The 27,464-nt window shown below is 49.5% G+C and overlaps 1 protein-coding gene across 8 annotated transcripts in view; it reads right to left on the reverse strand.

Annotated features, from left to right (window-relative positions):
- Positions 1-27,464, reverse strand: part of AP1B1 (adaptor related protein complex 1 subunit beta 1) — a 60,891-nt gene that overhangs the window by 19,048 nt on the left and 14,379 nt on the right. For 6 of the 8 annotated variants that reach the window (NM_001378566.1, NM_001166019.2, NM_145730.3 and 3 more), the window contains exons 2-11: positions 20,480-20,543; positions 16,274-16,379; positions 13,097-13,232; positions 11,999-12,244; positions 9,699-9,889; positions 7,923-8,144; positions 4,978-5,098; positions 4,444-4,539; positions 3,308-3,423; positions 2,491-2,656 (exon numbers count right to left, since the gene is read on the reverse strand). In NM_001378566.1, coding sequence (NP_001365495.1) covers positions 2,491-2,656; positions 3,308-3,423; positions 4,444-4,539; positions 4,978-5,098; positions 7,923-8,144; positions 9,699-9,889; positions 11,999-12,244; positions 13,097-13,232; positions 16,274-16,379; positions 20,480-20,516 — 1,437 coding nt within the window. In that variant the 5' untranslated portion in view covers positions 20,517-20,543. The remainder of the gene's footprint in view (positions 1-2,490; positions 2,657-3,307; positions 3,424-4,443; positions 4,540-4,977; positions 5,099-7,922; positions 8,145-9,698; positions 9,890-11,998; positions 12,245-13,096; positions 13,233-16,273; positions 16,380-20,479; positions 20,544-27,464) is intronic. The other 2 variants (NM_001378565.1, NM_001378564.1) reach the window with 1 other exon arrangement.

Genomic DNA, 27,464 nt, shown 5'->3' on the forward strand with positions numbered 1-27,464 from the left:
TTTGCTTCTGAGACAGAGGGAAGAGGCTGGTATTGCAAGCAAAGGCAGTCTGGAGGCAGGTGGCAGTGGGGGGGGGTGACGGTGGGAATTAGTACTGTGATTCTGAGATGGACATCTGTTGTTTTTGCTCACCCAGCATCTATTCTGTCTTCTGGGAACAGAAACACTGGCTTTCCTTCAGAGCCTCGCCCTTCTTTCTGTCCCTTTCAGTCCACACAAACTGGGATCGGTGCCTGAGAGACCTCGCCAACCAGAGTCACAGTGCCTGGCTCAGGATAATGCAAATAGGTCCTGGGACTTTTGCTGGAACTACTGAGGGGAGGGGAAAAACTCTTCCCATGGGAGTTATTGTGCCATAAGGACATAGCCTGGAACTGTTGATTCCTTACAGCTCCCACTGTTGGGAGCCTATCCATGGCAGAAGATAGCTCAATGCCACCATCCAAGCACCCTCAGCCAGGAGTCCCAGAAGAGAGCATGCTACCCACACTTGCCAGCTACCGGAACCAGTTGGTCCCCTTTTTGGCCTGGACTAGTTTGCTTTTGAAACCAATTTGGCCCAAACCAACACTACCATGAACGAGTGTTTATTATGGGCTGGCCATGTGTCAAGGACATTACACAAAGCACCCTAATTTAACTTTCGTAGCAAGAGGATGAGGGAAGATCTAATGATTCTCATTTTACAAATGAAGAAACTGAGGCTCAGAGAGTTAAAGGGATAAGCATAAAGTTACTGAGCCAGGAAGGGGCAGAGGAGGGGTATGGACTCTGGGATCTCTCATTCTAAGTCCCACACTTGGACCCACGGGATTACACAACCCCAGTTGGGCAGCAAAAATTTCTGTGCTCACCAACAGACTAACAGACAGTTCCCAGTTAACTGAGAAAAGGGAATACAAATGACAAGGCAGACATTCAGCCTCATTCATAACAGAAATGCAAACAGAACTACAGTGAGGTACCCCTGTTAGCTACTGGACTGGCAAAAACAAAGCAGAAGTAAGGAGAGGGCAATCCCAGCATCTGAGATAGGAGTCTAAACCAGCACAACCTCCACAACAGGAATCTGGCAACAGCTACCCAAATCTCAAACTCACATGCTCTTTTCTCTAAGCATCCTGCTCCTATGAATGTATCCTCCAGCTATGCCTGCAGATGTGCATTACACAGGTTATTCTCGGCAGTACTGTTTCAATGAGCACAAGACTGGACACCTAAATACCCACCAGGAGAGGATGGTTAAATAAAGCATAAATGAATGAGAGCATGGTCTTTGCAGGTGTTGGTAACAGAAAAAGGCAAGGTGCTAAACAATTTGAATTTACAGAGTATGCTACAGCAGTGTTTAAAAATAAATGAGAGGGCAGTGTAGATACAGTTGATTCTCACTACTTGAGCAATCCATGTTTGTGAATCTGCCTACTTGCTAAAATTTACTTGTAGCCCCCAAATCAAGACTCATGGTGCCTTTGCAGTCATTTGCAAATACGTGCAGAACCGTGAAAGCTTTCAGTTGCCTGACACACACATTCACAGCTGAGGTCAAATAAGGCAACACTCATGTTTCAGCTCTCATCCTGTAAACAAGCATCCTTTCCACCACCTATTTAGTGCCATGTTTTTCACATTTTTGAGCTTTTTGTTGATTTCCTTGTTTAAAATGCTCCCTAGCACTGAAGTGCTTGCCTAGTGTCCCCAAGCACAGAAGGCTGTGATGTGCCTCAGAGAAAACATGTCCTTGATAAGCTTCGCTAAGGCATGAATTACAGTATCCATGGCCATGAGTTCAATGTCAATGAATTGACAATATATATTAACTAAGGTGTTTTTAAACAGAAACACACATTTAAAAAGGTTATTAACTGATCAATTGACAAAAACGTTGGGTCTAGATGCTCACAGAAACTAAACTCTATATTTCTCCTAGGAGCTATGGTTCAGTACTTGCTAATTCAGTGTCTGCCATGACTATGGAACAGAAGCACCATGAAAAATAAGAATTGGTTGCATATGTGTGTGTATGTGTGTATAGGAAGGATGGGTGCATGTGTGTGTATCTGTGGGTCTACTGGTGTATTCCTAAATGATCTCCTGAACTTTCCTAAGAAATCAAAAAAGTGATGACTTCTGGGAGGAGAATTTGTGTCCTACAAAGTGATGAGAGGGAAACTTTTCACTATATATGCTTTTGTATCAATTTTAAACCAAGTCAATATATTTCCTATTAAAATATGACTATGGAATTAAAACAAAATGAAGAACTTTTGCCTGCCTTCCACGCACACCACCACAGACTCTCACGTGTCCCCGACTCGACTGTACTGCAGTGAGGAGGAAAAGGGGCGGTGTCCATTACGCGCACATCACTCATCTGTCTGTCAGGGCTGTTTACGAGGTAATAGGAAGGGAGGGTTTCATGGCAGTATGGGCCACAGTGGGGCTGAGCTGCCAGTCATGACTCACACCCTGGCCAGCTCGCTGGCTCACCTGTGTGCTCTCGTCATGGAAGCCCTCGAGGAAGCTCTCCAGCAGCTCATCTGCGTTGTCGATCCGTTCCGCGTACTCGCCCACAATCCAGATCATGGCAGCCCGGGCCTCAGGCTCATCCAGGGAGTCCAGATTCTCACACAGTGTGGCAATCACACTCTCATACCTGGGAGACCAGGGCACAGTTGGTATGGGAGCCCTCAAGGAGAACGGGAAACCCAGGGAAGCCAGACAGGGGCCAGGAGGGAAGGGGACCTGCCTCCTAAGACCCCAAGGTGGCAGGTAAAGGGGATCTGAGTTTTGTTTTTTTTTTTGAGATGGAGTTTCACTCTGTTGCCCAGGCTGGTGTGCAGTGGTGTGATCTCACCTCACTGCAACCTCCACCTCCCTGGTTCAAGCAATGCCCCTGCCTCAGCCTCCCAAGTAGCTGGGATTACAGGGACATGCCACCACATCCAGCTAATTTTTTTGTATTTTTAGTAGAAACATGGTTTCACTATGTTGGCTAGACTAGTCTTGAACTCCTGATCTCAGGCAATCCACCCGCCTCGGCCTCCCAAAGTGCTGGGATTACAGGCAAGAGCCACCACACCTGGCCTGGGGATCTGAGTTTCATCTGTCACACGTTAGCCCTTATTTTGGCCTGGGGAGTAGAGGAGGGGCAGTGTGGACGAAATAAAAAACAAAGGGTTTCTTTTGAGAATGACGCTTGTGGCCAAGAAGTAAGGAAGAGGAGATTCCTCCTTCCTTTTCTGCCCCGCCATCCCTGTCCCCAGGCAGAGCTAGATGCCCTCTCCCTAGGAGGGCGGGCACGCACTTGTTGGGGTACTTGCGGAAGATGTCCTTGATGACCACGATGGCCTCCTGGACCACATAGTTGACCTTGGTCTGGATGAGGTCGAGCAGCGTGCTCACACAGCGCTCCGCAGATTGCTGCATGGGAAGAGAAGAGTGTGGGCGAGGTCCCCGCACCCCATTTCCAGTAGAGCCTCTGATGTCCACGCCTCGGCCAAGGGCTGCAAATCACTTCTGGCACACCTTCCTCATCACAGTGGGAAAACAGGAGAACCCTCTCCCCAGGTAACAGGAGAGAACCAGTACCAAATCATGGCCCTAGGATGGTGGGGACATGGGGAATGAGACTGAGGAGAAGCCAGAGGAAGAGTTCCTGAGAGCCAGGAGGGTCCTTGGAGCTCCTCTAAGTCAGGACCTGAGGGCAAGGTGACTACGCTGCAGTCCAACCCCACCTCTCTTTTTACTTGTTTCAGAAAGGGGGCTCCTATGTCCAAAAACACTCACAGAACCTCTGACTGCTTCTGCCTTTACTTCCACACACTGCTCTCACGGCCTGCTCTGAAGGAGATTTCTCAGGACGGCATCATAGGCTCCAGGGTGAGCACGCCTCAAGGGGATAGGTCGGGGGCGACCACCTATCCTAGGACACTGTAGCCACCAGTGGACCCATTTAAGGAGAATCTGGCTTAGTGGTCGAGGAACATCTCCACAGACAGAGAAAGGACGGGGATAAAATGCCAGGACACAGGAGTCTAGAGTGGCCCTGGGACGCTGGGACACAGAGGCACGTGGGCAGCTGAATGATGACAATATTTGCCAAGAAGTGTTCAACAGGCAGGGCCCTTACCCCAGAGCTCTGTGAAGTGAATGCTAAGTCCATTAACTTGTGGCTGCCCCAGCATCTTAACAAATGCTGCAGGAGAACCATGATTATGATGGGTTAATTTGATCGGCAGCAACTCGAAGGCCTAAAGGATACTATAGAGTGAGAAGGAACCCCACCAGATCTGCACAATGCTTGCCATGGGGGCTCCAGTGATGAGCCTCAGGCCTTCCCAGACCACAAGCAAGCTGGCAGATTCTGCTTGAATCAGACTGGTTTCCCGGTTTCAGCCCCCTTTTCCTTCTCCAGCCAAGGACAGAGTCCCAGAGCCTCACCTCCACCTTGATGGCGCAGCGGCCAATAGCACGCACAGCCTTCCGTACAAAGTCCACATCCACTTCTGTTGCGTACTCTTTCAGCTCTGCCAACACCTGTGGCCCAAACAGAAAAGATGGGGCTGGGGCACCTGATGGGGCAATCTGCTGGAACACTCCTGGGCAGTGAATATACACAGACTCCCTAGGAGAATGGGATTCTGCCTCCTGCTCCAGGTAGAAGGCCCAAGGGAGAGAGCTGGCAGGTGCCTGAAAAGGAAAGAAGGCCTGGACAACCTTGTTTGGGGTTGATTTAGCTAACATATCCAACACCACGTTGTAAGGGATGACAGGTGATAACATGGAGAAACATTCTTTAGTAATAAAAACATCAGTTCTTTTACTTGCTTACGAAGCCCCATGTCCCATGCTAAACACTCTTCATGAGATAAACCGTTAATGGTGAGACTGGTCACCTGGGCCAGAGCCTACAGTCTGGTGGTGGTGGAATGGTCCCACACTGAGCCCGTGTCCTGACCATCACACGCAGCTGACCTGGGCGATGTTGGCCTGAGAGGCCAGGCGGATCATGATGTCCAGCTTCTCCAGCTTCACGTAGATAGGGTCGTTGTACTTCACGAAGAACACCTTCATCTCATGCTTCAGGATCTCAGGCCTGGTGGTGGGGCAGGATGCCCGGAGAGCAAAAAACAAGGCTTAAGCCCTGTGAGAAAATGCCCTCCACATTTGCTGGGACATTTCTGGGGTCTGAGGTGGAGCCTGATGTCTGTGAAGGCAGAGTCACTGCCATGGCTGCAAGCTCCTGGGTAGAGGGCCCAGCAACCGGCCTGAGCAAGGCTGTGACTGCTCCTGTGTGCCTGAGCACGTCGCCGGAAGGGAGACGGAGGGCAGTGAGAGACGGCTCACTCACTCTCCAGAGGCAGCAGGCCCCATGGGACGGGCTTGGGAATCAGACATATCTCAGTCCCAGTCCCAGCCTGTGACCTCAGGCCTGTTTCCTCACCCATGAAATGGGAATGACGCTGTACAGAAACATGTTACTACTGCAGGTCTGGGACTGCTAGCCTCAGAAGGCCTGGCACGTGGCAACTTGGATTTTGAAGTGTTCTCACTGTTCCCTAAATGATAAAGGTATTTAACTGTACCTAGACCATTTGTACAAAGAATACAGTTTATGCTGAACACATGCTTCCCTACTGGGAATATGGAATTTGTGTAGGTGCCCCCAATAACAAACTTGGGTGCCGAAGTCTCAAATAGGCTTTCCTGGGCAGAAACATTACATACATGTTGCTGCATTTTGTTGGGGGAGGAGTGTGCTCTGTATGACTCCCCATGGGAAGGAGGAGGTACAAGGAAGCCTCTCATGGAACCCTCCAGACTCCACCTGTGTCCTTCTCCCCTATGACCCAGCCGGGCAGCCCTGCTCTGCTGCTGATAGATCTTTGCTGTGGGTATAGCTATATGCTGAGTCCTGGCTGGGCACAGCAGCTCATGCCTGTCATCCCAACACTTTGGGAGGCTGGGGCAGGAGGATTGCTTGAGTCCAGGAGTTCAAGACGAGCCTCGGCAACAGAGTGAGACCCTGTCTCAAAAAATATATATATTTAAAAAATATATGCTGAGTCCTGTGAGTACTGCTAGTGAAACCTGAGCATGAGGGTGGTCTTGGGACCCCAACATGGACACCGACCTAATCGGCCTGCTGTGAGAGTGAGACGAGAAGCATCCAGCATGATCGATGCCTGCCTCAGAGAAGGCACCGCTAGGCAGGAGCTGTCACTAGCTGAGCCCTTTCACATGTGTCATTGTTCCTCCCTCAAAGGCAACATCCTTCTGCCTTCCGCGAGTATCACCCACCACATTTTTCCTGAACAAGGAAACTTCAGAGAGGGTGAGAGGCTGGTACTAGGTCACATGGCTAATGTCAGTAAAGACGAGAGTGGGGCGAGAATCCTCTGCCTCTGACTCCTACTCCTATGCCCTTCCAGAACAGAGAGGAGGAAGGAAAAGATACGAGGACAGATGGTGAGGAAGGGAGAAGACAGGACAGAGAGAAAGGAGAAAACTGGGTACTCTGTGCTGCTGTGCACACTGCGGGGAGGTCCTGGCCAAGCAAGGAGCCTTTGTCGTGCCCCATGGGAGAGGCAAGACCCCGAGCTGGGTAGCAGGAAGATATTTCTGCGATTAGGACTTGGCAAAAGCTGCCCAGCCACATCTCAGGACCAGGGCAGGGCATGTCTCAGTGACGTGGACAAATTCTTAAGAGATTTACTATGTTAAATATAGCACAGGGAATCCTGCACGCTGATCTGCTCTACTAGTCACTACGCCGCATTAAATCCGTGACCCAAGGGCACTGGCGTATAAAGACCCACACTGCAACCAGGAAGCCCTAGTTTCATCCCTTGGTTTAGGAACTCAGAAGGCTTTCCCATATTTACCTCCCTAATAACCCAATTCGACCAATATCTCTGGGTCCCCCGGGAGAGTACTAAGACCCAGACTGAAGCTACAACCAGGAGGATGTGCTGTCTTCCAAGAGAAAATGACTAATGAGGCCCCAGTTCTCTGTGTAGCCCCACTCCCAGCCACAGGGCCTGCTGTAACATACGAATGATCAATGGTTGCTACTGTCAAGTCCCCACGAATGATCAATGGTTGCTACTGTCAAGTCCCCACTGCTGACTGAGCCATTTGACCAAAAGCTGTGAGGAGAACTCAAGGTCAATCCCCCTCCCCAGAGCTGCAGGGCTCTGCCACTCAGAGCCACTTCAGAGGAAGAAGGGGATCATGCCATGAACCCCTCCGATCCAGCACTGCTCAATGGTTTTTCTGCTCTCGCCTACCCCCCACTACCATACCACGTGCCCTGGGAGCAGCAGCTCACTGCTCAGCCATTCTCATGGGAGGGAAGTGGGCGGCACAGCATTTGGAGTGAGTCCGATGTACCTCTCCCCCAGACCTCAAGGTTCCAACCTCAGAGAGTTTGACTAGAGCTACGGACTCTGTCCCCCGAAGAAATGTACACAGATACACAAAATCTGACAGCCCATTTCAGGACAGCTCGTGGACTATGAAGACAATATCTAGTTTAATCACCAAGCTAGTCTTTACATAGCCTGCTTCCTAGTTAGGTTAAGCCAGGGCTTCTCAACCTCAGCACTGCTGACATTTCGGGCTGGACAGTTACTGTGAGGGGCTATTCTGTGCACTGTAGGATGCTGACCAGCACTCCTAGCCTCTGCCCACTAGAAGCCGGTAGCATGCCCCCCTCAGCTGTGAAAACCAAAGTATCTCCAGACACCACCAAATATCCCTCAGGGGGGCAAAGCTGCCACTTTGGTTAAGCTATTCTGGGTTAAGCTATTTGAGACTTCCTGCATGGTGACAGGTCAGTTTCCTTTGAGAGCCCCCATTCCCAGCAGAAGAGGCTCCCCGAGGGGTACGCATGGACGTGCGTGTGGTGACCTCAGTACCTTTTCTGCACGATGAGATTGATGTTGCGCAGGGCCACATACTGCAGCTCTGGCTCGGCTGACAGCAGTGTGACCAGGGGTGGGGCCAGCTTCTTGAGCAGTGTGCCGTAGTAGTCCAAGTCCTTAGACAACATCTCCATGAACTTCATCAGCACCTTCACAGCAGAGAGCACCACAGCGGAGTTGGCATGGGAGAGCCTGGGGGTGACCCGCTCACAGATGCTGGGGTCCGTCCATTCCAACGGGGCAAACAGGAAAGACAAGGGGAAACATTCTGTTTTTAGTTACCAAAATAGCATGTCCAGGCCAGGCGTGATAGTTCACGCCTGTAATCCCAGCACTTTGGGAGGCCGAGGTGGGTGGATCACTTGAGGTCAGGAGTTTGAGACAAGCCTGGCCAACATGGTAAAACTTTGTCTCTACCAAAAAATATAAAAATTAGCTGGGCATGGTGGTAAGCACCTGTAGTCCCAGGTACTCAGGAGGCTGAGACATGAGAATCGCTTGAACCCAGGAGGTGGAGGTTACAGTGAGCCGAGATCGCGCCATTGCACTCCAGCCTGGGCAACAGAGTGAGACCCTGTCTCGAAAAAAAAAAAAATAGCATGTTCAGCCTGGGCAAAATCATGAGACCCTTCTCTACTAAAAATAATTTTACACATTAGCTGAGTATGGTGGTGCATGCCTGTAGTCCCAGCTACTTGGGAGGCTGACGCAGGAGGACTGCTTTGAGCCCAGGAGTTTGAGGCTGCAGTGAGCTGAGACTGTGACACTGCACTCTGGCCTGGGCAACAGAGCGAGACCCTGTCATAAACAAACAAACAAACAAACATGTTTTTTGTAGGAGAAAGATCTAAATCTTGGTTCTGCTGCTTGATAACCCCTAGCAGGTTCAAATCACTCTGAGCCTCAGTTTCTTCATTTATAGAATCAAGATGATGATGCCTACTTCACAGGGTTGCTAGGGGCTTAACTGACACAACGCATGTAAAGAACAAGGCTGGGTGAGGCTGAGATGGGTGGATTGCTTGATCCCAGGAGTTTGAGACCAGTCTGGGCAACATGGAGAAAACCTGTCTCTATACAAAATATAAAAATTAGCTGCTCATGTTGGCATGCAGATGTCTGTAGTCCCAGCTACCTGGGAGAATTGATTGAGCCCTGCAGGTTGGGGCTGCAGCTCCAGCCTGCAGAACAGAGACCCTGCCAAAAAAAAAAAAAAAAAGAACAAGCACAGTACTGGCATGTAGTACATACTGTATAGATGGCAACTCCTCACTTCCTCCGACTTGGAGGGTATCTTGTTGGTTAAGACCATGAGTCAGGTGAGCCCCAGCCAGGGGACCTGCACTATTCCCTCCACCTCTCTAAGCTGGAGCTCCCTCATCTGGAAAGTGGGGGATGATGATAAAAGTTGCATTAAAGACTCTAAAGTGTGGAAAGCACCCGGCAGAGCCCCAGACACCCAGTGAGAATTCAATGAGCAGTGGCTCTGGCGCTACCCACCTATTGAACTCAAAAGAGGTGCCCTGGGCTTCTGCCAGCTCCAAGGCCAGGCCATGCGTATGCCCATAGCTGCCCAAGGCAACTCTCCTGTCTACCTGGCTCTGGAGAGGTGGGAAGCAGGCAGGCCTCCCTTTAGGTGTGTCTGAGGGTGGGTTATGGGGCAAAGCACTAGAAAGGGGCCCACTAAGGCCCAAGGCCCAGTGCCTGGTTGGAGCCCCTGAGGACCAGGGTCCTCAAGCTGGGCTGGCAAGCAACGGGCAGCCCGCTCACCTCTGGGCCTCGCGGTCGTCCTTGGGCATATAGTTGGCGAGGCAGTCCAGGATGAAGATCTGGCCCCACTCGGTGCACTCATTGAGGGCTGTCAGCAGCTTGTTGATGGACTGTGGGTTCAGATCGAGCAGGTTGCTGCTGGGGTGAGACTCGGCAATTTCTGAGAGCGCTGCCACTGCATTGGCCACCACCTGGTTGAGAGGGTGGGAGGGGCAGAGGCTGGGGGTGCTGCTCACAGGCCAGGGGGCAGTGCATTAATGATGCTGGCTGGTCAGAGGTCAAATATCCTGAAAGGAATATGACCCAATGGGCAGGGTCTGGAGCTGCAACGAGACCCACTCCAAGCACTCACCCTGCTGACTCCTCTGCAAACTGGAACAAAACAAGTGTGCCTGCCATTTAGAAAAACAAGAAAGACCTAGCTCCAAGGGCTTAGCCACAGAAAGCATTCTCAGCTTCCTAACACAGCAGCGCCTGTCTACCAGCAACAGCACCTCACTTCAATGCTTGTCAGCTGTGCTTCTCAGAGCTAGGGGATTCCTGCAGAGCTCCTCGAGGCTACTGGGAGTGGATGGGGGCTTGCCAGGTGAAGCTCCAGGCCCTCAATCCATTTCCACTAGGAAGGTGTTTTTTTTTGTTTTTTGTTTTTTTTTTTTGAGATGGAGTTGTGCTCTGTCGCCCAGGTTGCAGTGCAGTGGTGTGATCTCAGCTCACTGCAACCTCCACCTCTTGGGTTCAAGTGATTCTCATGCCTCAGCCTCCCGAGTAGCTGGGACTGATTACAGGCATGCACCACCACACTCAGCTGATTTTTGTATTTTTAGTAGAGATGGGGTTTCGCCATGTTGGCCAGGCTAGTCTCAGACTCCTGACCTCAGGTGATCCTCCCACCTCAACCTCCCAAAGTGCTAGGATTATAGGCGTGAGCCACTGCACATAGCTTGTTTTTGTTGTTTTTGAGATTGAGTCTCACTGTGTTGCCCAGTCTGGAGTGTAGTGGTGCAATCTTGGCTTACTGCAACCTCTGCCTCCTGGGCTCAAGCAATCCTCCTGCCTCAGCCTCCCAGGTAGCTGAGATTACAGGCACGCACCACCATGCCCAGCTAATTTTTATATTTTTAGTAGAGACAGGGTTTCACTATGTTGGCCAGGCTGGTCTTGAATTCCTGACCTCAGGTGATCCACCCGCCTCAGCCTCCCAAATAGCTGGGATTACAGGCATGTAATCCTGTATGAGCCACTGCGCGCGGCCTCAGGCAGCTGTTTTTTTTTTTTTTTTTGAGACGGAGTCTAGCTCTGTCGCCAGGCTGGAGTACAGTGACGCAGTCTTAGCTCACTGCAACCTCCGACTTCCTGGGTACAAGTGATTCTCCTGCTTCAGCCTCCTGAGTAGCTGGGATTACAGGCACATGCCACCACACCCGGCTAATTTTTGTATTTTGAGTAGAGATGGGGTTTCACCATGTTGGCCAGGATGGTCTCAATCTCCTGACCTCGTAATCCACCCACCTCAGCCTCCCAAAGTGCTGGGATTACAGGCGTGAGCCACTGCACCCGGCCCAGGCAGCTGTTTTTAAGGGTGTTCTGCATTGTTTCCAACTTTTCTCTGTGAACCATCCAGTGCTCCAGTACCCATCCCTGTACTGGCCGCTCAGTACTGTGTATGGCAGTTGCTCAGTGTTTCTGCTCAGAGTGGGGAATGGCTGGGTTTGTGCATTCATTTTAAACAGGCCCTGCCAAACTGCCCTCCAAACTGCTGCCACCATTGTGGGTAAGGGGACTGTGGGGTTCCACATCCAGCTACATCCTGATGTCCTGTCTTCCAGGCTATGCTACTTCAAGGGTGACCCTCTACAACCCAACAAAGATGGGGGAAGGGAAAAGCACCACACATGCAGCATATTGGCTTGGTGAGAAGACAGCAACAATAACAGTGACTAGAAGGGGAAGGAGGGCACTAGTATTGATGGTGCACCGTTACCAGGCCATCCCAGGCACGTCACCTTCACAGCACTCCTGCCAGCCACGTAGAATGAGATCCATCTCACTGATGAAGAAAAGAGAGCCTAGGCAGCTTGCCCCAGGTTGCGCAGCTAGTCAGAGGGTGAGGAGAAGGGAATCTAGGTCTAGCTCCCTCCAGAGAGGGTGCCTGAACCACCAAAAGGCACAAGAACAACTGGCACCCCCAGCCAGGCTCCGACTTCTAGGTACTCAGGACTGCCTGGTGAAGAGTCAAGCCAATGTCTTCCCAAGCAACCCAGGAGGTGGTGGAGGTAGCACGGTGGGTGGCAGTGGCTTACCATGGGGTTAGAGTCGGAGATGAGGTCTTTAAGGGTGTCCAGGAAGCCCTGGTCCTCCACCAGCTGGGCGTTGATGTCGTGGAGCTTGGCCACGCACACAGCTGCTGTCTTGCGCACATATGGATCCTCGTCCTTCAGGCACTTCCGGAGTGGCTCGCACAGGTACTCTGTGATCTTGTCAACGCGGATGCAGCCCATGGTCCGCACTGCCAGGGCTCGGATGAGGGGGTTGGGGTCCTCACAGTCCTGGGGGGAACCAGCCATCGGCCAGGGCAGGGGTGGGATGAGCCATCTGTGGCTTCATATTCTCCCTGGCCTGCAGCTCTGAGCCCTGCTAGGCTGAGCGACATCAGATGGCTGCTGTGGATCTTCACCAACTACAGCCAACAACAGCAAAAGTAAATGCTATATAACCAGCACCCATGCCAGCTCTGCACACCATCTCCTCTGATCCTCACAGTAGAAATACAATACGGGTCCCATTTTATAGATGATGAAACTGAGGCTCTCAGAAAGGCTAGGAGCTCATCTGAAGCCACAGAGCAGAGCCGTGATTCAAACCCACATCCACCTAGCATCACAGCCCTCGGTCTTTCCACTGGGCCACAGAAGCCTCATTTCCCCATATCCGAGCACGGACAGGACTCAGGGGAGCTAAGGTTCTAAAGGTATACAAATTCAGAGGTACTGAACATTAGGAGAAAATAAAATTAAAATATAGGTGCACAGAGCTGACAATTTAATCTGAAGGACAGAAAATGGAGAAAGCAGCAGTCTGTAAGGGCAACAGAGAAGCTCTCGGGCACCTGCTGATTCCTGCCCTAGCAAAGCATGCAGGGCAGGGTCCAATCAGGGCAGTGAGGGGATCAACAGGCCTGGCAGGACCTCACACAGGATGAGTTACGCAGGGTCCTTAGCATCTGATTTTCTGGAGAGTGGGAGCCCTCTGCTGGAGGAAGAGGCCTGCAGGCTGGGCGGGCGCGGGCAGTCTGAAGGTCTGGACTCCATCCAGTGCCACAGGGCCCCGCCCCAAAGAGACTGAGGGGAGACAGAGCCTTAAGCACCCAATGTCCCCACGCCCACCAAGCGTCTGCTCACCTTCACAAAGGTGTTGACGGCCATAATGGCCATGTCAGGCTGACTCTTGGCGTAATTCATCAAGTAGAGGTATACTAGCTTCTTCAGCTCCAGGTTGTCCGTCTGCATGCAGTTGACCACATCGGGGAAGAGGGCACTGGAAGGTCAAAATGGTGTCAGCATGGGAAAGGCTGAACAAAGGAAGAGGAAGATTTTCAGGCTGCTAACTAGTGGGTGAGAGGACAGTGGGTAGGAGAGAAAGGAGAGACACACTGGACTTCCTGGTAAAAGGGAGGGTTTCAGGTCTGCTGTTAACAATCAACACCTATTGATAGAAAGGGAATCCCAAAGGGTAATTTTAAAAGCAGGAAAGTCCTTGATTCTTTTCATATAGTTCAAACATGAGTTCTGGAGCCCATCAAACCCACCACTGCCTCTTGCTAGCTATATGACATTGGAGAAATTCCTTTGTCACCTGCCCCCTCGCCCTGAGTCTCAATTTTCTAACTTCCAAGAAAGACGCAACAGAAACTCACTTCACAGGGCCTTTATGATAACTGAATGAGACAACATACTTAGGTATCTGGTCCTTGATATCTGGGAGATGCTGAGTAAATGAAAATGATCCTTTCTCCCTCTCTGATACTTAATGTGGCCCCTTACATTGGGCTGCTGGTTCTGGAGGGTCGCAGGGAAGCAGGATGGCTCATGCTGCTTTCTCCACAAGCTCTGGCACCCGGTAAGAACCAGCACAGCATGCATGGAGCACACACCATACACCAGGCTTGGTGCTAAGAGCTTTACATGCTTGATCTCATTTAACTGCCCTCAGAAGTCAGGGGATGATCCCCATTTCAGAGAACACTGAGGTTCATAAATGTCAAATAACCTGCCTGGAGGAATCAGGTCTGAGAACAAGGTCCGTGCTCATGACCACTGGGTGGAACCCTTCTCAACATGGTACCCGTGGTCCCAGAGTCACAGGCCTTCTTAAGATGTGAAATTTGGTTAGAGATCAATTTTCTATCTCTGAAATCATCATATCCCCTCTCAATTCTTATGTGTTTATAGGAAAGGACGTGTCAACATAGAGACTTAGGAGGTCAAAGTGAACTTCCTGATCCCCAACAGGCAGGAGTCCTGCCAAAGCCAAAATTTATGTGTCACCTTGGAAGATGATGCACCAGGAAGAATGGGGAGGAGGGAGGAGGAAAAACTGCTGATGAGGCCGACTCGCTCTTTGGGGCTTATCATATCAGCAAAGCCAGCTCTTTTGAGATGGAAGAACAAAGATGTTTCTCCTCTGTGAGGAGGTGACAGTGGTGTGCTGGGTGAAGGAGAGCAGCTTTGTCCTGGAAGGAATCTGACTTGGAAGGAGGCCCAGTTGTCCAGCAGGTACCTGTTTCCTTTCTGCTCTGGCTTCCAAAGGGCTCTCTGCAGAGCCCCTTCCCGGAGCTGCTGGCAGGAGGTCCTTTGCTTGGGGGGCGATCCATGGGGACGTCTGGAGCAGTGGGAGCCTATCTTGGGACCTGGATGGGAGCTGCTCCACCTCAGCACCCGGGTTATGAGGCACAGGGCTGGGCACCACGAGGGCATGGGTGAAAGTGGCCTGGATTTGGATTTCAGAAGAACTGGGCTTGAGTCCTAGTTCTGCCATAAACCATGTGACTCTTAGGCAGTCACTTTATGTTTTTATTTCTTTGGCAGTAAAACTGTCATTACCTACAATATGGGAATTGTAAGGAACTACTGAGAAAACAAATCTCAAAATGTTCTGTGCAGACTCTCAAATACTGTGCAAATATCAAGCTGTTTTAAAATCCAGTCTCTGCCTTTGAGATTTTACAATCTGGTGAGCAGGTAAACACAAGTACACATAACAAGAGAACAGTTTCCATTTAGTGCTGGGTGATGGGAACAGACAGCAAATGCTTTGAGTTTGAGGTAGTGGGCTGGGGTGATCAGGGAAGGAAACACAGGGAAGGCAGACCTTGAATGTTTTTTTTTTTTGAGATGGAGTCTTGCTCTGTTGCCCAGGCTGGAGTGCAGTGGCGTGATCTTGGCTCACTGCAGCCTCTGCCTCCCAGGTTCCAGCAATTCTCTGCCTCAGCCTCCCAAGTAGCTGGGATTACAGGTGCCCACCACCACGCTTGGCTAATTTTTGTATTTTTAGTAGAGACGGGGTTTCACCATGTTGGCCAGGCTGGTCTTGAACTCCTGACCTCGTGATCCACCCGCCTCGGCCTCCCAAAGTGCTAGGATTACAGGTGTGAGCCACCACATCCGGCCTCGAATGGGTTTTTAAAGATGGGAAGACAAGCTGGGTCACTGGGCGCTCCCACAGGGGAAGCATGAGCCAAGGTGCGGCAGCCGCTCTACACACAACCGGCTTTAGCCATCAGGTGCGACAGAGGCTGCACACCGGTGACAAATTAGAGAAATCCAATCTGCACGTGTGTTTTACTTGCACCACACAGTGTTTGTTTAATATCATCTGGCCACTTAAGACAGGGAGATTTAAAATGAAAAATCCAGATTTCCCATTCTTCTTTTTTTTTTTTTGAGACTGAGTCTCGCTCTGTCACCTGGGCTGGACTGCAGTGGCACAATCTCAGCTGAATGCACCCTGTGTCTCCCAGGTTCAAGCAATTCTCCTGCCTCAGCCTCCCGAGTAGCTGAGACTACAGGCATGCGCCACCATGCCCGGCTACTTTTTGTATTTTTAGTAGAGACAGGATATCACCATATTGGCCAGGCTGGTGTCGAACTCCTGACCTCGAGATCCGCCCGCCTGGGCCTCCCCAAGTGCTAGGATTACAGGCGTGAGCCACCGCGCCTGGCCCAGATTTCCCATTCTTTTAAAAACCAGAAGACCTGGCCACACTGGGTCCTCTTCCCCAGCCAGTACTGATCCTCTGGAGTTTCTGAGAGGGTTCATGCCACACCCACTCCATTGCCTGCTGCCTTTCCCACCTACTCCAGTTAACTCACTCCATAACCACCTGACCTGTCAGTGTCTGGGCTCATGATTCCTGTGTAAACAAAACCTTCTATTGGGAAGAAAGTTTTATGAAGGGAGCTGTATGAGGGGAGACATGGGTCCCTAGACACCCTAAAGGAGAGACTGAAGTGGACCCAAGCTATAAACCCTCCCCTGTCAGCCAGCTTCTAGCTGCCACCAGGCCTACTCCTGCACACCTGACATCTTTGCCCACGGTCATCGATGCAATCACTTTCTTCACTGCCTCCTTCTTCTTCTCCTTCTTGTCACTGTTGAGCTCTGCCTTCAGCTCGAAGATCTCCCCTAAGGAAAGGAGGCAAGCATGAGTGATCCCTCCCTACCCTGGCAGGGGACAATTCCCAGTATCTAACTTCCAAAAGAACCGGAGGGAGGCACGTAAGACATCCTATGCTGTTGGCTGAGGGAAGCTTCAGGCGCCTGGCCTCAGGTGGGCCAGGCAACAGTGAGGGATGACTGTTAGGACAGGAATTAACAAGATGGAAACTTGTAGGCCGGGTGCAGTCGCTCATACCTGTAATCCCAGCACTTTAAAATGCTGAGGATTGGCCAGCACAGTGGCTCATGCCTGTAATCCCAGCACTTTGGGAGTCCGAGGCAGGCGGATCACGAGGTCAGAAGATCAAGACCATCCTGGCCAACATAGTGAAACCTTGTCTCTATTAAAATACAAAAAATTAGCCGGGCATAGTGGCGCGTGCCTGTAATCCCAGCTACTCGGGAGGCTGAGGCAGGGGAATTGCTTGAATCCGGGAGGTGGAGGTTGCAGTGAGGCAAGATGGCGCCACTGCACTCCAGCCTGGCGACAGGGCCAAGACTCCATCTCAAAAAAAAAAAAAGAGGCTGAGGATTACTTGAGCTCAGGAGTTTGAGATCAGCCTGGGTAACATAGTGAGACCTCGTTTCTACAAAATAATTTTTTTTAATTAGCCGGGTGTGGTGGCATGTGCCTGCCGTGCCAGCTACTCTGGAGGCTGAGGCTGAAGAATCGTTTGAGCCCAGAGATCGAGGTTGCCGTGAGCCATGACACCACTACACTCCAGCCTGGGGGACACAAAGTGAGATCCTGTCTCCAAAAAAAAAAAGTTTAGAGGCCACTCTGGATTGAAGCAACAGGAACCATGGAAGCTACAAAGGTTCTGAGGAAGACAAAAGCATCAAAAACATGATGGCAGGCTCTGCTCAGCCAGGGAGCTAAAACCCCAGTGGAAGGCAAAGCTGTCCTCAGCTACCCTCACTCAACAAAAGACCCTTAAAAGGCTCAGTGCAATAGAACCTGAGTACTTAAGGCTTGCGGGGTGAGAGCAGGATTTGTGGATTCCCACATGAAGGCCTTTCCTGTTTTCCTCAAACCTCTAATTAAAACAGCTTGTTCAGGGTTTCACTTCCTGAGACACAAGTGGTTGGTTGCTCAGCTCTGAAAACAGGAATTCAGCTGCTCCATGAGAGCTCAAGCATGAAATCAATTGTTCTGAAGAACTTCATGACATGAAAAAAACAAATGAGGAAGCAGGGTTGTCTGGCCCTGCCATGGACAGATAGTCAGGACCCTGATAACAGGTTAGGAGGGCAGATGTCATTTCCTGACCCCTTCTCTTTTATTTTTTATTTTTTTGAGACAGAGTCTTGCTCTGTCACCCATGCTGGAGTGCAGTGGCCCCATCTCAGCTCACTGCAACTTCTGCCTCCTGGGTTCCAGCAATTCTCCTGCCTCAGCATACCGGGTAGCTGGGACTACAGGCGTGCGCCATCACACCCAGCTAATTTTTGTATTTTTAGTACAGACGGGGTTTCACCATGTTGGTCAGGCTGGTCTTGAACTGATCTCGTGATCCGCCCGCCTTGGTCTCCCAAAGCACTGGGATTACAGGCATGAGCCACCACGCCCGGCCATTTTTTTTTTTTGAGACATAGTCTCACTCTGTCACCCAGGCTGGAGTGCAGCGGTGCGATCTCGGCTCACCGCAACTTCCGCCTCCCGGGTTCAAGCAATTCTGCTGCCTCAGCCTCCCAAATAGCTGGAACTATAGGCGGACACCATCAAACCCTCCTAATTTTTGTATTTTTAGTAGAGACGGGGTTTCACCATGTTGGCCCGGCTGGTCTCAAACTCCTGACCTCAGGTGATCCACCCGCCTCAGCCTCCCAAAGTGTTGAGACTACAGGCCTGAGCCACCATGCCCGGCCCCTCTAAGCCCTTCTCTAAGCCTAGTCCCATACTAACTTGTTCCCACACATTTTCTTATTTCATCCTCACAACTCTGCATTTCCCTCCGTTTTGCAAATGGAGGCTGTGAGAGGCTCAGTAACGTATAGCCAATGCTGGTAGGGGGCAGGGCTGAAACTGAAAACCAGGTCTGCTAGCTCCAAAGCCCATGCTCTCAATCCCTATGCTTGGGCCTACCCAAGATACCCACTTTGCTTTCCTAAACCTGTTTCCTTGTCTCTTTGGCTGGAGCATTGAACCCAGGCATGTCTGTCCACACATCTCTCTTCCCAAAAGAAATCCACTAAAAAACCCCAACCCCAAAATAAAAAAAATAGCTGGGCATGGTGGCACGTGCCTGTAGTCCCAGCTACTTGGGAGAATTGCTTGAACCCAGGAGGCTGCAGTGAGCAGAGATCTTCCCATTGCACTCCAGCCTGGGTGACAGAGACTCTGTCTCAAAAAAAAACAAACAAACAACAAAACCCACCCCTGGGACTCCAATACACTCAGCACTACGTTCACCCTGTGGCTCACCAGGCTCCACAAGACTGATCCCTGCGTACCTCTCCAATTGCTTTCTCTCTTTTTTCAATTAGTTGCCCAGGCTAGACTCGAACTCCTGGGCTCAAGCAAGTAATCCTCCCACCCAAGCCACCACCTGGGGCGCCACTGTGCCTGGCTCTAACCTCTTCTTGTATCACCCTCCTCGGTAGCTCATGCCCACTACCTTCCTTTCCCCAAATGTGTCACAGGCACAGCACTCACTCCTTCCCCTTCCTATCCCCCATCGATCTGGCCAGCTCCACCCAGAGCTCTCCCACAGTCCCCCCTGGACCCAGTACACTTCAGTGTGGTTACTACTCTACAGACTGTCTTCCCTGCTCAACCTTGAGCAACACCAGGTCAGAGGCTCTGTTTCTTTTCCACTGCACATGGTAGGTTCTCAGTAAAAACCAGCTAGACCAATACATGAAATGCCTGATGAGGGGCAGACTTCGGGTCCTGGATCAGCTGATCCAGCAACAGACTCTTTTCATCTGGTCGGCAGGCATGTGTCAGTATCACTTGGAAGGAAGGAGGGAGGAATAAAGGGCTGGCCAGAAAGATGCTTACAGGGTTAAAGCACATTTGTCAGCCACGACGACATCCTCCATTTCCTTAAAAGCAGAAACAACCAAAATACCCAATGATATAAGCCTAGCTTAGCAAATTTCAGTGTAGCTACTCAATAGACTTAATAGTGAGTCATTAGAATTGTTGGGAAATGTTTATGATATCAAAACATCAAATGAAAAACAGGATTAAAACGATGAAAATACATGCCTGACCGGCCGCGGTGGCTCACGCCTGTAATCCCAGCACTTTGGGAGGCTGAGGGGGCGGATCACCTGAGGTCAGGAGTTTCAGACCAGCCTGACCAACATGGAGAAACCCCGTCTCTACCAAAAATACAAAATTAGCCGGGCATGGTGGTGTAATCCCAGCTACTTGGGAGGCTGAGGCAGGAGTATCACTTAAACCTGGAAAGCGGAGGTTGTGGTGAGCTGAGATCAGCGCCATTGCACTCCAGCCTGGGCAACAAGAGCGAAACTCCGTCTCAAAAAAACAAGAAAGAAAAATTAGCTGGGCATAGCGGCGGGCGCATGTAATCCCAGCAATTCCGGAGGCTGAGGCAGGAGAATAACTTCAACTCGAGAGGCGGAGGTTGCAATGAGCCAAGATCGCACCACTGCACTCCAGCCTGGGTGACATGAGTGAAACTCCGTCTCAAAAAAAAAGAAAAACACGTGCCCTTGGATAAGGACACACACACACACACACACACACACACACACACACACACACACACACAACTGCTGTGGGGGTGTTGATAGGATTCTGTGTTTTCTTTCCCCTGGAAAAAAACATAATTATTTTAAGCCATGGGAAATAAAAGGGCACTTTTTTTCCCCACACTTGGAGCTAATGTTCTTCCCTTTCTGAGCTCTAAAAGGAGTGGTCAATTTCTTATATCATCAACAGTTCAATTTTCTAGATCTACCACAAGCTCTAGGCCATTCCTGCCACATGTTTCCAGGCCTTCATTCCCACCCCTACTCCCTACCGCCATAGGAGGAAAACAGAAGGGACAGGAAGAGAAAGCATAGGACAAGGCCCATTATTAAACAAGTAATACCTTTCTTGGTCGTGGTGAAATATTTTGAGTCAGTCATTTTGGTCCCTTATCTGTAGCCAGGCTTCTGCAAGAGAGAGAAGAGAGGGGTGACTTTCAGTTATGCTCCATCCCATCTTCAGTTATGGTGCAGAGGGAGGAGAAGGATCCAGAACACATGTGGTACAGGAAAACAGCTGCTTATCTATTTCCTGGAGAAACAAACTTTAGATCATGGCAGATTAGATTTTGAAAAGTAATTCTGAGGAATCTATCAACCTTTTTTTTTTTTTTTTCTTCAGAGATGGGATCTCACCATGTTGCCCAGGCTGGTCTCAAACTCCTGGGCTCAGCCAATCCTCCTGCCTCGGCCTCCCAAAGTGCTGGGATTACAGGTGTGAGCCACCACACCTGATCCCATCAAATTTTTGAATGTGCCTCTTCTAGAAATCTTTCCCACAAAAATATCTGCACAAGGATGGATGGGCTTACAGCAGCCCCTTTGTGGGACCCACTTTGCTCAGCACTGTCCTAAATGCTTGGCACACATTAACTCATTAGGAGCCTCATCACAGCATCATCAAGGCACGATATTACCCTATACAGTCAAATAAGATTAGAAAATACCAAGCTTAAAAGGCTAGGGAGACTTCTTCTCCCCACAACTTTTCTAAGCTGCTAAAATAGTAACATGCCTGATTCATCTCTGGAAAGGGCTAGAATCTGTACTCTACAGCAGTTCCCAAATCTACCTGGCCAGTTTTCTTAAAGGCTCTCTCAGGACATCTCCTAGCGCAAAGCTCACAGCGTGAAGTACTATTGTAGACAATAGGGGCTGGGCACCACAGCTCATGCCTGTAATCCCAGCACTTTGGGAGGCTGAGGCGGGTGGATCACCTGAGGTCAGGAGTTTGAAACCAGCCTGGCCAACATGGTAAAAACCATCTCTACTAAAAATACAAAAAATTAGCCAGGCGTGGTAGTGTGTGCCTGTAATCTCAGTTACTTGGGAGGGTGAGGCAGGAGAATCACTGGAACCCAAGAGACTGAGGCTGCAGTAAGCTGAGACCACACCACTGCACTCCAGCCTGGGAGACAGAGCAAGACTCTGTCTCAGAAAAAAAAAAGACAATAGGACAAAGAAAGTACTGAAGCTCTGCCATTCATTTAACAAAAATCATTTAACAAAAATTTACTGAGCATCTCCTATGTACCTCAGTAGTTCTTCTGGGCAACAGATGAAAGAAAAGAAGTTACACAGGAACCAAGATACCCTAGATACATTTATTAAGAATCTATCATTTACTGAGCCCCTATTAAAGGCAGGGGCTTCGCCCACATTATCTCACTTAATCTTGTCAATAATGTAACTGCTTTGAATCCCATTTTACAAATGATGAAACGGACTCAGCGATGTTACATGACGTGCCCAAGGTCAAATGGCTTGTAAGTGGCTGGGCTGGGAGACCATCTCAGGCCTACCTGAGCTTAGTTCCTATGCTCTATTGAAGGAATTCTGTTTCCCCCTTCTGACGAGGAGGACAGTTCCCTGATAGTGGCTAAAGGATTCAGTCAAAAAAAAAAAAAAAAATTGAGGCCGGACGCAGTGGTGCACACCTGTAGTCCCATCTACTTGGGAGGCTGAGTGGCACAAGAAGCACTTGAACCCAGGAGGCAGAAGTTGCAGTGAGCTGAGACTGTGCCACAGCACTCCAGTGTGGTGACAGAGCAAGACTCTGTCTCCCCGCCCCACCCCCGCAAAAAAAAAACACATTGAGACTTTCAAGTACAGCCTTCCAATCCTACCTGTAGTTTTATGTGGTATAGAAAACCACACAACTCCAAAAAACAGACATTTGAATGGAGAAAACCCACTTCACTTTATCTCTTTTGTTGCGTCTATGGAAGGGACTCAAACAAATAACCCACCAATATCTCCTTTCAAGTCATTACTATACGGGGGCAAGATGAAAGTTACTAGTGCAACGGATGTGAGGGATCAGGAGTCATTTCACAGCCTCTGGAAACCAAGCCAACACAGCACCTCCTCTCCAGCCCAATTGGATTTTTCCAAATTAAGCTTGTATTTATGGCAGGATGGCACTGAGCAAGCCTCCCAACCGAGAGACACCCATAGATTTTGTTTCAGTAATCACTGGGAAACAAATACGTACTGTCTTGGGGTCACCTTAAATCCTTTGTGGATCCTGAAGGAATAAAGGAATAAAGGCTTCACTGACAAAACAGTACAAAAAAAGGCACAATTCTACTTCCCTTTTGCTTTGCAAAGTTGAAAAGGAAGGATGGCACTTTTCTATGGGAGCTGCAGGAAAGAGCAGAAGAGCCCACTGCGTCTGATGTTGCAAGTCCCACAGTGGGGACTCTAAACTTGCTGGTCCTCCCAGCATGAGTCATGGCTGTAGACAGATCCACAAAGGAAGGCCCCGCATGCGCCAGGCTCACAGCTCCCGTTCGCCCTCCTCTTTCATGCCTGGCCCAGGCCCGGCACATAGCAAGTATTCAATTGATAGTTGTTGAAAGAAATGAAAAGGGGCCACTGAAAATCCCAGGGAGCCTCAGCCTGCTCTCTGGCAGCCCTGTTACGTAACTAGTTAGCATTTGTTTCCAACAGGAATTTACCGACATTAAAAACGATTTTTTTTTTTTTTTTTTTTTGCACACACATAAAGCCATTTTCTCAAAGAAACCTCACCAACCTAGGGGTTCTTTGGGGACCTCTGAAAATGGGCAGGTAAATCAGATAATGGGATTTCTGTCTTACAATAAAGATCTGCATGGTTCCAGAAGTCACAGACTTGAGAGTGTAACTGCCAAAAGTATCCAAAATAATAGGATAATATCATTTCTCAAGGTTGAGTGTAAGAGGGATAACTGAAGACAAAAGGGGCTAAAACTCACAGGCCACAAAGAAACACAGAAAGTAACACAGAAACCACTCCAACATTAAATCTAAAAAGAAACAAAAGTGGCCGGGCGTGGTGGCTCATGCCTGTAATCCTAGCACTTTGGGAGGCTGAGGTGGGCAGATTGCCTGAGCTCAGGAGTTTGAGACCAGCCTGGGCAACATAGTGAAACCCCGTCGCTACTAAAATACAAAAAATTAGCTGGGCGTGGTGGCATGTGCCTGTAGTCCCAGCTACTCGGGAGGCTGAGGCAAGAGAATTGCTTGAACTCAGGAGGTGGAGACTGCAGTGAGCTGAGATCGTGCCACTGCACTCCAGCCCGAGCGACAGAGTGAGACTCAGTCTCAAAAAAAAAAAAAAAAAGAAAGAAAGAAAGAAAGAAAAGTGAATAAAACAAACAAAATACCTTAGATAACTAATGTGAGAGCTGCTCGGAATTTCTTGCCTCTCCAGAAGAAAAAGCCGTCAGAGCCTGTCCCCTCCCCTGCAGGCCCAATACAACATCAGAGGGCCCTAAATTCCCAGGACGCAACCTGCTGGTGACAGATGGGTGCTGTATGCAACTGACCAAGAGGAGAAACGGGTGAGAAAGCCTTTCTTTCTGGGGATTTAAAAAAAAAGTGACAGAGCTGCAGGGTAGCTGGTCAAAGCACAGCTGCAGGGTAGCTGGTCAAAGCACAGCTGCAGATACCCCAACAGCGCTGAGCTTTCCGTGACAGTCTTCCTTTTACAGGTGCTAAGCAACTACTCACAAACTTAACTGCCACTCAGTGCACTGGTGCTGGCTGCAGCTTTTTTCCGCAGTATCTGTTTCACATATCCCTCTGCAGAGGGCCCAATGGGACTGATGATGCAGAAATGTATCCCTCTGAAGTTGTTTCATATGCAGGAAATTAAAGTAGAGAAGGGAGGAGATGCGGAGAAAAGTGAAACGCTTTAGAAAGCCACCCCAAAACACAGATAACAAAACAAAACAAAACACCTCACTTCACCATGAATGATTCCCTACCTACAGCTTAGTGATGTACTGAGGGCAGCTATCTCCTCGTGTCCTTTCTCCATTGTGAGCACCTAATGCTGGTACCTGGTCTTGCAGTTGCCTCTTGGATGGATATCAGTGCAAGAGATTTCTCATTCTCTCCGCAGGAATGGAAAAAACCCTACAGTTCAGTCCTAACGGGGCTCAGACTCATAGATGCCATGAGAAAGACTGGTGTTTTTCCTGGCACCTGCTTGGCTGTTATCATGCACTGTATCCCTACCCCATAGAGGCCAAAGGGGCTGAGACCTTGTTCTCTGATGAATCTGATCGGGTACACGAATCATATTTGAAAGCAGGCAGCGGCTGGGCGCGGTGGCTTATGCCTGTAATCCCAGCACTTTGGGAGGCTGAGGTGGGCAGATCACGAGGTCAGGAGATCGAGACCATCCTGGCTAACATGGTGAAACCCCATCTCTATGAAAAATAAAAAAAATTAGCCGGGTGTGGTGGCACGTGCCTGTAGTTCCAGTTACTCAGGAGGCTGAGGCAGGAGAAGCATGAACCCAGAGGCGGAGCTTGCAGTGAGCAGAGATCGCGCCACTGCACTCTAGCTTGGGCGACAGAGTGAGACTCCGTCTCAAAAAAAAAAAGCCAGCAAATTTAGGCAAGAAAAAGCTTAGGGTTTGGATTCCATCTTTGGAAGTGTCAGGGCAAATTTTTTAAAGTGGTTAATTACGGGGAATTTTTGATTCAGAAACTGCTCTGGCCAGTATAATGAGTCACTTTGCTAAGGAGACAGCATTCTGGGCTGGGATCCCCCCCTCAATTTCAGCATTTACAGGCCAAGAAATGCCTCAAGGGGATGGCATGGTCAAAATTAAAAGAGGGGCATACCTGGAACAACTGGTTTCACCCTTGAGGAGCCAGTGTGGCTGTCCTCTCTTAATCTTAATATTTCTCACACCCACATTTGAAAGATTATGACTTTGATGTCACATCCCAGAAACAGTTCTGGTTAACTTCATTTTTTAGAATTAAAGAAAGGGAACTGAGGCTGGGCATGGTGGCTCACGCCTGTAATCCGAGCAGTTTGGGAGGTCCAGGTGGGCAGATCACCTGAGGTCAGGAGTTCGAGACCAGCCTAGCCAACATGGTGAAACCCCATCTCTACTAAAAATACAAAAAATTAGCCGGGCATGCTGGCGGGTGCCTGTAGTCCCAGCTACTCGGGAGGCTGAGGTAGGGGAATCACTTGAACCCGGGAGGCAGAGGTTGCAGTGAGGTGAGATCGCAGCATTGCACTCCAGCCTGCGCAACAAGAACGAAACTGGGTCTCAAAAAAAAAAAAAAAAAGAAAAAAGAAAAGAAAAGGAACTGAGCAATAAAGCCTAAAATATAGTAGCTTTCTCTCTTATGTTTTCTAGATGTATAAAGAAGCCCTTGGTGAGACTTTTGGAAACAGTGTCCAGGGACAAAGATGTAACATGATCTAAGAGAGGGAAAAAGAGGTCCTAGGTCCTAAGGAAAAAAAAGGGAAGAAGAAAAAACATTTCCATCTAAAGACTTTGGTTTTTAGCTGCTGAAGTTAGGGTTAGGCTTAAAGGAAAAAAAGTTCTCAATATTTTTCAAATTTTGTCTTCATATATCTAAATATAATTTTAGGAACAAGAAATATAGACTATCTTTCTGTGTTTTAAGCTAATAAAATGAATTTATATCTATTTTTAAAACATAAGAAAATCACCTCCTTTGAGAATGAAAAAAATAAAAACATAAGAAAATGGGTACTAAGTATAGTATTTCAATTTTTCTCCAATGTCTCAAAATTGGTGACAACCTTTAAAAGGAAAGTATGCTGAACTGAGTCTACTTCATCTCCATAGTTCAATTTCCCTCTTTAAAATGGGGAGATCAAGCCGGGTGTTGTGGGTCACACCTGTGAATACCAGCACCTTGGGAGGCCAAGGCGGACAAATTGCTTGAGGCCAGGAGTTTGAGACTGGCTTGGGAAACATGGTGAAATCCTGTCTCTACCAAATTAGCATGGTGGTGCACACCTGTAGTCCCAGCTACTCAGGAGGCGGAGGTGGGAGGACTACTTGAGCCTGGGAGGCAGGAGGTTGCAGTGAGCCAACATCGCACTACTGCACTCCAGCCTGGGTGACAGAGTGAGACCGTGTCTCAAAAAAAGAAAAAAAGAGTGGGGGGTGGGGACTGCTGTACCTGCTCTTCTGTGTATTTCACATATTTCTTCTGACAAGGGCTAATGTGAGAATGAAAGCACGTTGACAAGAAAAAATGTAAACATCATAAATATCACAAGATTTCATGTGTACAAAGCTCTAAGAGGCAAACCTAAGCTACGGTGATAACAGTCAGGTCAGTGGATGCTTCTGGGTGGGAAGGACTGAAAGTGGGCATGAAGGGCCCCTGCAGTAAGGGAAATGATCTGCATCCTGATGCAGATACTGGACACACTGTACACTTAAGAGCCAAGCATGTCACTTGGTGTAAATTAAACAGACATTTTAAAAAATGTGCTGGGCGCAGAGGCCTGTAATCCCAGCACTTTCGGAGGCCAAGGCGGGTGGATCACCTGCGGCCAGGAGTTCGAGACTGGCCTGGCTAACATGGTGAAACCCGTCTCTAGTAAAAATACAAAAATTAGCTGGGCCTGGTAGTGGGCACCTGTAATCCCAGCTACATGGGAGGCTGAAGCACAAGAATCGCTTGAACCTAGGAGGCAGAGGTTGCAGCAAGCTGAGGTGGCACCACTGCACTCCAGCCTGGGCGACAGAGCAAGACTCGGTCTGAAAAAAAAAAAAAAGGCAAGGCACGGTGGCTCACACCTGTAATCCCAGCACTTTGGGAGGCTGAGGGGGGTGGATCACCTGAGGTCAGGAGTTCAAGACCAGCCTGGCCAACATGGCAAAACCCCATCTCTACTAAAAATACAAAAATTAGCTGGGCATGGTGGCGGTGCATGCCTGTAATCACAGCTACTTGGGAGGCTGAGGTGGGAGAATCGCTTGAACCCCAGAGGCAGAGGTTGCAGTAAGCCAAGATCGGCGCCACTGCACTCCAGCCTGGGCAACAGAGCAAG

This window comes from Homo sapiens, chromosome 22 (genome assembly GCF_000001405.40).
Source record: "Homo sapiens chromosome 22, GRCh38.p14 Primary Assembly".
Lineage (NCBI taxonomy): Eukaryota > Metazoa > Chordata > Mammalia > Primates > Hominidae > Homo > Homo sapiens.